General features: G+C 37.5%; 1 protein-coding gene across 16 annotated transcripts in view, besides 1 other annotated feature; it reads right to left on the bottom strand.

Annotated features, from left to right (window-relative positions):
- FRYL (FRY like transcription coactivator) overlaps positions 1–14,820 on the bottom strand; it is a 282,923-nt gene that overhangs the window by 173,312 nt on the left and 94,791 nt on the right. For 10 of the 16 annotated variants that reach the window (XR_007096393.1, XM_047450098.1, XM_047450097.1 and 7 more), the window contains exon 1: positions 10,262–10,542. The exons of 2 other annotated variants lie outside the window; for them this stretch is intronic. Coding sequence is in view for 9 of the 14 variants with exons in the window: in XM_047450098.1 (XP_047306054.1) it covers positions 10,262–10,457 (196 nt within the window). In the remaining 5 variants the exon portion in view is untranslated. Of the gene's footprint in view, positions 1–10,261; positions 10,543–14,004; positions 14,128–14,820 lie in introns of those variants that run through there. 4 more of the 16 variants (XM_024453991.2, NM_015030.2, XM_005248090.6 and 1 more) reach the window with 1 other exon arrangement.
- Positions 13,264–13,558: a silencer, noted in NCBI's record as "tiled region #7734; HepG2 Repressive non-DNase unmatched - State 23:Low". NCBI's record gives its function as "represses a minimal TATA promoter and a strong SV40 promoter by Sharpr-MPRA in HepG2 cells {active_cell/tissue: HepG2}" and the evidence as "EXISTENCE:reporter gene assay evidence [ECO:0000049][PMID:27701403]".

Genomic DNA, 14,820 nt, shown 5'->3' on the forward strand with positions numbered 1-14,820 from the left:
TTTAGCTCCCACAAGTGAAAACATGTGAAGTCTGTCTTTTGTGCCTGGCTCATTTCACTTAACATAATGACCTCCAGTTCCATCCATGTTGCTGCAAGTGACAGAATCTCATCCTTTTTCACAGCTGAATAGTACTCCACTGTGTGTATGTACCACATTTTCTTTATCCATTAATCTGTTGGTGGACATTTAGGTTGCTTCCAAATCTCGGCTGTTGTGAATAGTGCTGCAATAAACATGGGAGTGATGATATCTCTTTGATATACTGATTTCCTTTCTTTTGGGTATACACCTAGTACTGGGATTGCTGGATCCTATATAGTCACTCTATTTTTAGATTTCTGAGGAACCTCCGTACAGTTCTCCATAGTGGTTGTACTAATGTACATTCCCATCAATAGTGTACAAGGGTTCGCTTTTCTCCACATCCTCACCAGCGTTTGTTACTGCCTGTCTTTTGGATAAAAGTCATTTTTAACTGGAGTGAGATGATATCTCACTGTAGTTTTGATTTACACTTCTCTGATCATCAATGATGTTAAGCACCTTAAAAAGATACTTAAGAAGTGATTAGACTAACTATAAAAATACCCAACAAAAACTACTGATATAGTACTGTTGCACGAACTTCTTAAAAAACCTTTGTATCTGAATCACACAATCATTTGGCAGTAGCTATATGGAAGACACACATTATGAACAAAAAAGGAAAGCTAGGGCCGGGTGTGGTGGCTCACACCTGTAATCCCAGTACTTAAGGAGACTGGGGCAGGTGGATCACCTGAGGTCAGGAGTTCAAAACCAACCTGGCCAACACGGTGAAACCCCATCTCTCCTAAAAATACAAAATTAGCTGGGTGTGATAGCGCATGCCTGTAACCCCAGCTACTCGGGAGGCTGAGGCAGGAGAATCGCTTGAACCCGGGAGGCAGAGGTTGTGGTGAGCCGAGATTGCACCATTGCACTCCAGCCTGGGCAACAAGAGCAAAACTCCATCTCAAAACAAAACAAAACAAAAATACAAAAATACAAAAATTAGCCGGGCCTGGTGGTGCACGTCTGTAATCCCAGCTACCCAGGAGGGTGAAGCACAAGAATCGCTTGAACCTGGGAGGCAGAGGTTGCAGTGAGCCAAGATCACGCCACTGCACTCCAGCCTGGGCGAGAGAGAGAGACTCCGTCTCAAAAACAAAAAAAAAAAAAACAAAAAAAAAAAAAAAAAAGAAGGAAAGACAGAAAAAGGTGCTCTGTTTCAAGCCCCATTAACTGTCCTATAAGTCAAGTGCTAAAATTTTCAGGAATTATGCACAATAAAAGACCTAGATCCAAATTCCTAGAATACTTTCTGTGACAGAATGCTCCAAGGTTAAATTTGTAATTAAATTGATTCATCTACATCCAAATAAAAATCAAGAAGTCTTTGTAATAACAATAGACACCATTTACTGAACAATTATCAATTTTGTTGACAATTTTTTATAATCTTGAAAACAATGCTAGAAAGAAGATATGATTCAAATTGATAGGTGAGGTTAACTAGTCTAGAGCGATTAAGTAGCCGGTTCAAGGCAAGTCACTGGTACAGCTCAGCTTAGTCTGGATGGAAGTGCCATCTCCTTCCTTTCTCAACATTTCACTGCCTGGCCCCCCATCATGACTGTAGGTATTCCCAATATTCCTCCTTTGTCATGAGAATTCCCAGAAGATAACAGAGAAGACATGAATACAACAACCCAATAGGGCTTCTCCTAAATCTTCCAATAATTACAGCCTGAAAAGTACTCCGAAGACCCTCTTAAGAAAAGGAACATATTTCACACTATGACACTATGAAAGCCCAGTGCTTCCAAATCCTATTTGTAGTAGGAAAAAGAAGTCCTGACCTCCTTCACACACTTACATAGTAAGTATGAGGTTCTATCTTGGTCAGGCTGAAAGTTCCATAGCAAACTGATTATTATTTGGAGCTCAGGTTCTTCCAGGCATTGTGCTGCCCAGCAACCTTTTTTATCACTTCTGAATTCCAAACAATTCTCCACCTCCTTCAGTGTATCAAATCATAAGCATCTGAAGTGTCAGAAACCTCAACTCAATTTTCTCCCAGGACCTTCTCTAAACTCCTCAAGAATACTCTGGTCTTCAATGAAGACTTAAGTCACCCATTATCCACTTTGTTCCCTTCTAAAAAGAAAGTGGCCTGTCATGTTATTCCTCTACCCAACATTAAGAGTATCAAACAAAAATCTGCTAATCTGGACTTAACACAAGTTAACAACTGAGAGCAATGGTTCTATGAAAACAAAACTGAAAAGATCACTTACTAAGGAAATCCAGTTAGTAAAATAAGTGCTACATCGTGGGTTGTCCCTGCTAGTGAGCTGTGCTGAATACCTAGGGAGAGGTATACCAGTATACGATTTAAACATTTATATCTCATGAAGCCATTAACACTTTGTAATGAAATGGAACCAATACAATATGTGTCTCTTGTTTTGTAAAAGTCATGTAAAATAGCCATTTACTTAATCAGTTTATCTCACCAGAGTGTTACAAAAACTAATTATCAACTGATCATTAAAGACAGTTTCAAAGACTAATGCTTAATACACACTAGAATTAAAGTTTTTTCCTATTAAAATATATCTTCAAATGAAAGCACCAAAAAAGTACATGTTCTTTAATAAAATAATAAAACTTGATAGATACACTAGTCTTTATTTTTTTAAGAGACAGAGCCTCGCTATGCTGCCCAGGCTGGAATGCAGAGGCTATTCACAGATGTCATCATTGGATACTGCAGCCTGGAACTCCTGGGTTCAAGTAGTCCTCCAGCCTCAATCTCATAAGTAGCTGGGACTACCGGTGCATGACACTGCACCCATCAGACACACTAGTCTTTTAAAAAAAAAATACTGTATACCTAAAGATTCAAAAACATCAAACAATAATGCAATGCAATAGAGTAGAAGGAGCAAACGCCTTATTTTAAAACAATGGCATGGCTATATCACTTAGTAATCAAAAGGCCTCAAATAATTTTAAGTTCCCAGGAATGTTTAAAATTCTAGATAACGACCTGTCTCACAGGGTTGTCAAGAGGACTTAGATAACATTCACTAACTTCAATCAGTGAGCAACTATTATGTCCCAAGCCTTGGAACACATGAAACAAAACAAAGTTCACGCTCAGCTTATGTTCTATTTGATGTGGGGAATGGAACACATATGTACTAAATAGGTAGACAAATGAGATCACTTCAGTTATTGGTAAAACAGAACAAGTTAATAGTGTCCAGAATATAGAAGGTGCTCATATGTTTCTTCCATTCTTAATGGTGGTATATATCTTCTTCTGTTAAATGTATCATTGTCTCTGTTCTTGATGAATTTTATAAAAATCAATGTTAAAATATATTTTTTGTTACATTAACCCTTATCCTTGATTCCAAATGGAATGAACAGCGACAATATTAATGTTGATTCCATCAGAATAAAATAACCCAATCCGAGACATAGAAGGACTTCTCTGTTCAACAGTCAGAAAACATTGTTAGTACATTCTGAATCAGTAAATAATATCTTCCTCCCACCAACATTTATACCTGAATATAGATAATATAAGTTCCAATTCTACTAGTATTTATCAGTGAAACCAGTCTTGGATCACATAATTAGGACTCTACACACACACATACAAAAAAACAGTCTAAGGATATTTAAGCATTTCATGAATAGGATAAGATTATATCACATCACATGTGATCATTTTGATTTCTTTATTAAGTAGGAATAGCAAATAAATGATTTCTCTTAAAAATTGCAACATAGGGAGGCCAAGGCGGGTAGATCACGAGGTCAGGAGATAGAGACCATCCTGGCGAACACGGTGAAAACCCATCTTTACTAAAAATACAAAAAATTAGCCGGGCGTGGTGGCGGGCTCCTGTAGTCCCAGCTACTCGGGAGGCTGAGGCAGGAGAATGACGTGAACCTGGGAGGCGGAGCTTGCAGTGAGCCAAGATCGCTCCACTGCACTCCAGCCAGGGCGACAGAGCAAGACTCTGTCTCAAAAAAAAAAAAAAAAAAAAATAGCAACATTATACAGCTATATATAGTAGAAGCCCTTTGCTGTAACACAACTGTTGTCTAATTATTTAATCCAAAACTCCATTGAAGTAGAAATTGGGGGAAAAACAGATCAAGAGGTTCACTAAAAGTTTTATTTTAACTTAAAATATAAAATTCATGTTTATTCCCCAGCCTTTTGATATAGTGCCAAGGCCTTATCTTGCAAGGCAGATATGCTGATTACGCCATTGTCTTTTTGCCTAAAACGAAACCCATGTACATCAGCTATGACTTCAAGTTTCAATTTCTTTTTTCTTTTTTGTTTTTTTGACACGGAGTCTCGCTGTGCAGCCCAGGCTGGAGTGCAGTGGCGCAATCTCGGCTCACTGCAAGCTGCGCCTCCCGGGTTCACGCCATTCTCCTGAGAGGTGACAGCGCGCTGGCAGTCCTCAGAGCCCTCGCTTGCTCTCGGCACCTCCTCTGCCTGGGCTCCCATTTTGGTGGCACTTGAGGAGCCTTTCAGCCCACCACTGCACTGTGGGAGCCCCTTTCTGGGCTGGCCAAGGCTGGAGCCCACTCCCTCACCTTGCAGGGAGGTGTGGAGGGAGAGGCGCGAGCGGAAACCGGGGCTGCCTGCGGCGCTTGCGGGCCAGCTGGAGTTCCGGGTGGGCGTGGGCTTGCCAGGCCCGGCACTCGGAGCAGACGGCCAGCCCTGCTGGCCCCAGGCAATGAGGGACTTAGCACCCGGGCCAGCGGCTGCGGAGGGTGTACTGGGTCCCCCAGCAGTGCCAGCCCACCAGCGCTGCGCTCGATTTCTCACCGAGCCTTAGCTGCCTTCCCGCGGGGCAGGGCTGGGGACCTGCAGCCTGCCATGCCTGAGCCTCCCACCCACTCCATGGGCTCCTGTGTGGCCCTAGCCTCCCCGACGAGCACCACTCCCTGCTCCACGGTGCCCAGTCCCATCGACCACCCAAGGGCTGAGGAGTGCGAGTGCACAGCACGGGACTGGCAGGCAGCTCCACCTGCAGCCCCTGTGCAGGATCCACTAGGTGAAGCCAGCTGGGCTCCTGAGTCTGGTGGGGCCTTGGAGAATCTTTAGGTCTAGCTCAGGGGTTGTAAATACACCAATCAGCACTCTGTATATAGCTCAAGGTTTGTAAATACACCAATCAGCACCCTGTGTTTAGCTCAAGGTTTGTGAGTGCACCAATCAACACTCTGTATATCTAGCTGCTCTGGTGGGGCCTTGGAGAACCTGTGTGTCCAAACTCTGTATCTAACTAATCTGATGGGGACATGGAGAACCTTTGTATCTAGCTCAGGGATTGTAAACGCACCAATCAACACGGTGTCAAAACAGGCCACTCAGCTCTACCAATCAGCAGGATGTGGGTGGGGCCAGATAAGAGAATAAAAGCAGGCTGCCCCAGCCAGCATTGGAAACCCACTCGGGTCCCCTTCCACACTGTGGAAGCTGTGTTCTTTCCCTCTTTGCAATAAATCTTGCTACTGCTCACTCTTTGGGTCCATGCTGCTTTTATGAGCTGTAACACTCACCGCGAAGGTCTGCAGCTTCACTCCTGAGCCAGTGAGACCACGAACCCACCAGAAAGAAGAAACTCCCAACACATCTGAACATCAGAAGGGACAGACTCCAGACGCACCATCTTAAGAGCTGTAACACTCACCGCGAGGGTCCGCGGCTTCATTCTTGAAGTCAGTGAGACCAAGAAACCACCAATTCCGGGGACACTCCTGCCTCAGCCTCCTGAGTAGCTGGGACTACAGGCTCCCGCCACCAGGCCCGGCTATTTTTTTTTTTTTTTTTGTATTTTTATTAGAGACGGGGTTTCACTGTGTTAGCCAGGATGGTCTCAATCTCCTGACCTCGTGATCCGCCCGCCTCGGCCTCCCGAAGTTTTGGGATTACAGGCGTGAGCCACTGCGCCTGGCCAAGTTTCAATTTCTTTAAAGTGACAGAAGAAACTGAAGGTATCCAAGGGCAAAATCCTTCCAATCTTGTATACTTTCCTGGCCTATGTGAAATTCAAATGCACATTTTTCTCGGGAATTAATCTTTATGAAGTCTAACCAAAGCATTCAACTTTGTTTACACTGAAACAACTCTTGCTTTTGAATCGCACTTTATTGAATTATGTAATATTTAATTGAATTACATAATCACAATAAGTATAACTGGCATAAACAGATTTGTTTAAAAATATAACCAATTCTTGTTAAGCCCACAACTTAGCCTGTTAGGAGCAGAAATGGTAGCAGGGAATTTCATCAGTATTTAGTAGTGTGCTCTACAGGCATTTAAAAATATATTTTACAGAGGAATAGAGGATATTGGTGAAACCAAAGAGTTGTTTGAGAACTTCTAGGAAAATTTTTAAAATATTAGGCTACTTAACATTTAAAGAAAGTTAAAAATAAAAAAATTATCAATAGCAAAGAATCTTTAAAATATCATTCCCTTCAAATTACACATATTTTTGTTAAATCATAAGCATCTATAAATAATTCTACAGTTAAAAGCTGCAGGTAGATTTCTATATATTCTAAGCTAGACTTATTCTCGGTTGATTCTCTCACAAACGTACAACTGTCAGTACAGATTACAATCTTACCTAAAATATCTTAGGAAAAAATAACGATTTTTTGTGTGTGTGTTTTTGTTTTTTTTTTTGAGACAGAGTCTCTCTCTGTTGCCCAGGCTGGAATGCAGTAGTGCGATCTCGGCTCACTGCAACCTCATCCTCCCGGGTTCAAGCGATTCTCCTGCCTCAGCTTCCCAAGTAGCTGGGATTACAGGCGCCTGCCACCATGCCCGGCTAATTTTTGTATTTTTAATAGAGACGGGGTTTTGCCATGTTGGCCAGACTGATCTCAAACTCCTGACCTCAGGTGATCCGCCTGCCTTGGCCTCCCAAATTGCTGGGATTACAAGCGTGAGCCACCGCGTCAGCCCGAAAAAATAACTTTTTAAATATTGAATTAGTAATTAAAGAAGTTGGAAACAACTGATTCAAGTATAAAGCTTTGAGATTACATGCCATTTTTTTCTCTAAAAGAATAGCTCTTTCTTTGCATCTTTTTACATGAAGTCTCTCCATATCATCGAGTTCTCCTTTCAGTAAATGAACAAAACTGTAACACCCCTTAGGTGAACTGTACTGGTCATATTTTAATGACTTCTGGCTAAACCACTGCATTATCTCTATCCCAGAACCACCAGTAAATAGGAAGTAAGATTCACTTATGTTGAGACGCAAGTAACCTATGTGTACATTGGTATGAACCGTCATATTTACAATTTGTATATGCAATATAAATTTAGTATCAAATCTTGAGATTCAAGAGAAGGTATTGGCCGGGTGCGGTGGCTCATGCCTGTAATCCCAGCACTTTGGGAGGCCAAGGCAGGTGGATAACAAGGGTCAAGAGATCGAGACCATCTTGGCCAACATGGTGAAAATGATTGGCATAGCATTTCAAACGATGAAGCACAAATGGTCTACACAGAAATCAGGAAAAAATGGTTGAAAAAATTAACTCTAGATGGATTAAAGACTTAAATCTAAGACCTAAAACCATAAAAACCCTAGAAATATAAAAATTAGCTGGGTGTGGTGGTGTGTGCCTGTAATCTCAGCTACTCAGGGGGACTGAGGCAGGAGAATCGCTTGAACAAGGGAGGCGGAGGTTGCAGTGAGCCAAGATCGCGCCCCTGCACTCCAGCCTGGCGACAGAGCAAAACTCCATCTCAAAAAAAAAAAAAAAAAAAAAAAATAGAGAGAGAAGGAATTGATCAGTACAAGTACATTGGAAGAGCCAGACACTTTAAAACCAAATCTCTCTACATAAATTGCCAAATAATTTCTTTAAATTAATTTTAATAGTCATTTCCTGAGGTTGAATTTTTTTTTGCTTCCCCATCCTCAGCCCTGAATTTTATTTTTGAAGAGAAAAATCATGCAAGAGTTATTCCACAAAGAACCTGTAGCCTCAGAAATTTCAACATACATCAGATTATTTGCTGTTTCATGATTATGCTTTATTTTGATCTTGACTAGTAAAAACATATATACCATAGGAAATTCTTAATCATTAGATTGACTGCTTATTTGCAAATTAATACAAATTATAAAATCTAATTATTATAAATTGTAACATGTGTGCTGTATTTAAGAGTATAAGATAGTCTTTAAAAAAAAGAACCAGTTAAGAGATAAAAGTAAGGAGCCATATAAATAGGCATACCATATTACATTTAAATACCAAGTCCAATTATGTAGGCTGTAGTAAAGTGAAGAAAACAACTAAATGATTCAAGTAACTGCACATATTAATATATACATATTTTCACTTATGCATATACACTGTTGAACACAAAACCAAGTGCTGGCTGATTTATATTTTTTTAATTAAAATTATGAGATGCCAACCCATCAGTGGCCTCATTTCCATTTCTACTCAAATAAGCGAACAGTATACAAAATTGGTAACTCCTAATACCAGTACACACTAGACATCAATATATATTTCTTTTTAAAATGTAAAAGCTCCTTCTTTATTCTTTTACGTAACTGGTATTTTTTAAAAAGAAAGTATGGTTTCTCATAAATATACTATTTTTTAAACTGACATGAAACGATGGTAGGGAGAATATAAGGTAATGGGAACTCTCATATCCTACCCTAAGGAGCTTAAAATGATAAAGTTTTCAAAGGTAATCGCATTGTCTATCAAAACTTAAAAGGCAGTAGAACAGAAAATAGGAGAATCTAGGAAGGGCAGGGGGAAGGTGGGGGAATAGGGAGAGATTTGTTAAAAGATACAAAATTGCAGCTAGATAGGAGAAATAAGTTCTAGTGTTCTATACCACTGTAGGATGACCATAGTAATAATATACAGTTTCAAACAGCTAGAAGGAAAATATTGAATGTTCTAACACAAAGAAATGATAAATGTCTGAGATGATAGATATGCTAATAACTCTGGTAAGATCACTATACACTGTAAGTATCAAAACATCGCTATGTAACCCATGAATATGTACAATTATGATGTCAATTTTAACAAATAAAATGTAATATAATTTTAATATGAAATCTTATACTAATAAGCACTCATCCCAAAGTATGAAGTGATATATCAATGAATATTACATAATTATTTTTAATAACTAAAAAGTAGTCATTCTAAATGTTCCTCTATAAGGAATTGAATAAATCATTATATTCACACAACAAAGCACATTTCAAATGAGACAGGAAGATGTCTATGATGTACTAAATGAAAAAGCAAGTATCAGAATGACTTGGACAATAAGTCTCATTTTTTCAAATTCTGCTAATAAAAATGTGTATGTGCATGCTTAAATATGTATACATATTAAAATATGCATGGAAAACAGCTATAATACATATCAAACTTGCAGAGGGTTTACAGAAACTCCCTTCTAATAAATAGCATATTAATTTATAGGTACAGCTATTTACTCCCTAAAATTAAAAAAAAATCATAGAGAATATTTTAAACTGTTTTAATCAAATATTTGAAAACTTGAAGCATTTTTTCATCTTTTTCCTAATTTTCCTTTCCTCTAATGTTTGTTAGTTACTATATGCAAGCTGATGTTTATCCTAAAACATATTAACCATTATCCTCTCAAACTTTAAAGAACATTATATTTACCTTTGCAGGATTACACATAACAAAAATACTATGATACAAAATAATCCTTGTTCTATTCAAAGATTTAACTTTTTAATATTTCAGCCCAAATATTCATTATCTTTTAAAATAAAACAATGGAACATATTTTTAAACAAAATTTAAATGGTTTCTATAGTAACAGACACAATTCAGTATCTTATTTTTTGTTTACATATCCTATAGGTGTAACTAACATACTGTCAATAACGCTTCAAAATATTTTCCAAAGATCAAAACTATTAAGTGCATTATAGTTTTATCTTGACTTACAGCATAAATATTTCTCCAGCTATACTTGAAGAAAAATTTTATTAAAAAAGTAGGCCAACTATATACTTCATTAAACATTTTAATATTTAAACTTGATTTTCAAAATATTCCTGCTCACTAGAATTCATACTTGTAAAAATAGTTTTACTTTCCTAAAATACTTTTTTAAAGGATGCAAAGAAATACGTTTTTACTTTACCTAGTTGTTGGTGTTCGTATTTGTCATAATTACTATGACAGAAATTGGTTCCACCTTGCTCATCCACCGTCTTCTCAGATGAAAGTGAGCTAAGACGTTTCATCTTAACTAATCTTGGGGAACTTTCCTCAGTACTAGTATCCAAAACCACATCTCCCGAAAGAATGGGAGGAACAACTCTCTTTAAAAAATCCATTTTAAGGTTCTTCTACATTACTAGGCCCACAAGCACACAGAAAGGTGCCTATACCAACTTCCTTGATGAGAAGTTCAGGTACACTATTTGTGTCAAAGAGCAAATAAACGTCATATGAATTTAGGCGGTGCTAAACCCCAGTCAGTCAATTGCCAGCTGTTTTGAAGCTGATTTTCAGGACATTACTGTTTGTGCTGATAACAAACCAAACAGCTATAGACCATGAAACTGCCCTTCATGTACGCGTACATGTACAATGGGTGTTAACGACAATACTGAGACCATAAAATATTGAGCGTCCATCTAGTTTAACATTTAGATTTTGAAAACTTTCACTGTGATCATGTAAAGAGAAATTTACTTTGGCCTGAGGTGTGTCTTCCTTTTAAATAAACTTAGAGCTGACGTGTAAAACAGCAACTTGTATTCAAAAGATAATTCTTATCATTTTGAAAATTCACTAACAGACCTCAGGAATGTCAACTTTTATAAAACATGAAAAGGAGTCATTTAAAACTTTATTCTATATTACAAACATTCTAAAGTTACTTTTAAACACCAAAAAAACTCCCTATTACAATCAATGATACTTATCAATAGTAATGGTGAAAACTTCAGCATGAATAACCAAAAAAATTGATAATTTTAAATATATGGATCTAAAAACATAAAGCTGAAGTACTGAAAGTATAAATTCTTAAATTCAATAAACACAGTCATCAACATTATATGTTTTTCAAAATAACTGAGCACCCTACAAAATATTTGGAAATAGCAAAAGTAGCCAATCCTACTGCTTTGATGTAATTCAGAAGTATAACAAGAGAGTACAATAAAGGAATACCTACAAAAGACTTTGAAAACTGAAAGTTCTCTCCCTTCCTTTGCCTGCCCTCTTGTGGGGTTGTTAAGTGAGCAAGAAGGAAATGAAAACACAAAGGTAACAGGGTAAAACCCCTAAGCAATCATATCTATAACTCTGAATGACACATAATAATTTAAAAAATCTGATTCACTTAGTGAAACACAATACAATCTCATTCTTCCAATGCTCAACATGAAGAAAATGATTTGCATAGTATTTCAAAAGATGAACCACAAATGGTCTACATAGAAATCAGGAAAAAATGGTTGAAAAAATTAACTCTAGATGGATTAAAGACTTAAATCTAAGACCTAAAAGCATAAAAACCCTAGAAGAAAACCCAGGCAATACCATTCAGGACACAGGCATGGGCAAAGACTTCATGACTAAAACTCCAAAAGCAATAGCAACAAAAGCCAAAATTGACAAATGGGATCTAATTAAAGAGCTTCTGCACAGCCAAAGAAACTATCATCAGAGTGAACAGGCAACCTACAGAATGGGAGAAAATTTTCACAATCTATTCATCTGACAAAGGGCTAATATCCAGAATCTATAAAGAACTTAAACAAATGTACAAGAAAAAAACAAACAACTGCATCAAAAAGTGGTCAAAGGATATGAACAGACACTTCTCAAAAGAAGACATTTATGCAGCCAACAAACATACGAAAAAAAACCTCATCATCACTGGTCATTAGATAATGCAAATCAAAACCACATTGAGACACCATCTCATGCCAGTTAGAATGGCGATCATTAAAAAGTCAGGAAACAACAGATGTTGGAGAGGATATAGAGAAATAGAAATGCTTTTACACTGTTCGTGGGAGTGTAAATTAGTTCAACCATTGTGGAAGACAATGTGGTGATTCCTCAAGGATCTAGACCTAGAAATACCATTTGACCCAGCAATCCCATTACTGGGTACATACCCAAAGAATTATAAATCATTCTATTATAAAGACTCATGCACACGTATGTATATTGCGGCACTGTTCACAATAGCAAAGACTTGGAACCAACCCAAATGCCTATCAATGATAAACTGGAGAAAAGAAAATGTGGCACATATATACCATAGAATACTATGCAGCCATAAAAAAGAATGAGTTCATGTCCTTTGCACGGACATGGATGAAGCTGGAAACCATCATTCTCAGCAAACTAACACAAGAACAGAAAACCAAACACCACATGTTCTCACTCATAATTGGGAGTTGAACAATGAGAACACATGGACACAAGGAGGGGAATATCACACACTGGGGCCTGTCAGGGGGTGGGGGGCTAGGGGAGGGATAGCATTAGGAGAAACACCTAATGTAGATGATGGGTTGATGGGTGCAGCAAACCATTATGGCACGTGTATACCTATGTAACAAACCTGCACATTCTGCACATGTATCCCAGAACTTAAAGTATAATTAAAAAAAAAAAAAAGAAAAATGGGTAAATTTCTGGTTCTGAATTACTTCGTTTTTAATTCTTATTCTCCTATCACATTACTTATTAAGTCAACTAGTCTTCATTTATTTAAAAAGCATTCAAGATCCTTTCCATGTAAAGCATTAATATAGTATTAAGGTTCAGAGAAAGTTTAAGGATTTATTAATACAAATCCTGTCTCAAGAACTCCCATAGGAAAAAAACAACAAAGTCAAGTAAAAGACATAAATTTGTTGCCCTGAAGCAGGTATAGATTCAACAGGAAAAAAGCACTGACTTTTAGAAGCAGATTGTCTCTTAATCTTCAAGCATAAAAGTGTCAAAATTAAGATCCAATCAGTCTATTCCCCACAAACAGAAAAAACAACTTGTTAGAATGGTAAACTGCATGCCTTAATATGCCTAAAACTCATTCCTTTCTCCCCCTCTCTCCCTCCTTCTCTCTCTGGATATGATCCCATGTTATTTCCATTTTGTCTGTGGTTTTCCCCAGGTCCCTCTGCAGGTTGTCCTTATCTATGAAGCCCAGAAACACAGTGGTACATAGAAGAATGCTAATTCATGTTTGTTCATGACATGCAAGACAACCATTTGTGTCACTGTTAACCTCACCATTCTCAACTGCACTTTCAACTGGAGAGAGCAAGGGGTTAAGGTAATAGGGATAGGATTAGGTGTTATAGAAGATCCCACAGATTTTTCTCTGATTTCCTTCATTCAACAAATATTTGTTGAATAGCTTCTCTAATGATCTGTGCAAGATATGAAGGCATTGAAGATATGTCTCTCTACCCAAAAAGCTGACTACTTAAGAAGGGAAATATACTCTCACAGTTATAATATTCTGTGTAGGGTAGGCCAAACCTTTGTTAAGCCTGCACTGCAGTTCAATTTCCTATGCTTCATCTGCTTCCTAAGCCCCCTCGTTATAGGTGTTGATTGCTAACAAACATTGAGAGGATCCACTCTGAGACATACAGCAAAGGGGAAGTACTCCAGTAATGAAACTGTATTTATTACTGACAGGATCTATAAGGAGGAAATGCCACAAAGCCTTGTTTACATGGTGATACTTCTAAGCACTTTAGCTGATTACCACAACTTTTAACTCCTGGTATAATAGTTATAGGATCAAGAAATTATAGTAGAACCTCACAGCTAAAATACAGCATTTAAAAATCTTTTCAGACCTCAATCACTATTTAGCCTTGAGAATATTTACTATAATCTTACCGTATCACTTGAGACAGTAATTTCTTGGTGACTTGGATCATCTAATCCTATGACTCTTGAGTGGTTTCAGGAATTAAGCATTTAGATGTTAACCATCCAAGATACCAATAAATGGCTTCAGCTCTGAGGAAAAACAAAATACATTTACACGTTAGGTGCGTTTAACACCTGTGTGTTACTCACATCCATCCTTCTGAACACATTTTATACATTTTATACACCAGTGTCACCTAGTGCTGCAGAGATCCTCTTTCAATAATGTTACATGACATTTTTTCTAAGTTTTTTATTATGGAAAATTTCAAACTAATCCAAAATTATTAAGAATAGTATCATGAACCCCCCACCATTCCCAGCTTCAACAATTAACTCATGGCAAATCATGTTTCATTTATATCTTCATCCACTTTCCCCAACCTCTATCCCACCACTCTGGATTATTCTAAAGCAAATTCCAGACATTATAACATTTCATCTGTAGATAATTCATTATGTATCTCTCTAAGACAAGGATTTACTTTGTAAAAATAAGTTAATACCATTATAATGCTTACATTAATAATCATCTACTACTATAATAATAATAATCAACTACTAATCATCACTCAAATTTCCCCAATTGTCTCATAAGTATCTTTTTAACAATTTTCTCTAAATTTAAACAAAATCCATACAGGCAATTGTGACCATATCTCTTAAATAAATTTTAATCTATAGTTTTTCTCCTCCCTTTCTTCTGTATAGAGTGACAATGCTTTTACTAGCCAATGGTTAAACTAATACACCACAACTTAATTATTCAATAATACATTATTT

The sequence above is a fragment of the Homo sapiens genome, chromosome 4 (genome assembly GCF_000001405.40).
Source record: "Homo sapiens chromosome 4, GRCh38.p14 Primary Assembly".
Classification (NCBI taxonomy): domain Eukaryota; kingdom Metazoa; phylum Chordata; class Mammalia; order Primates; family Hominidae; genus Homo; species Homo sapiens.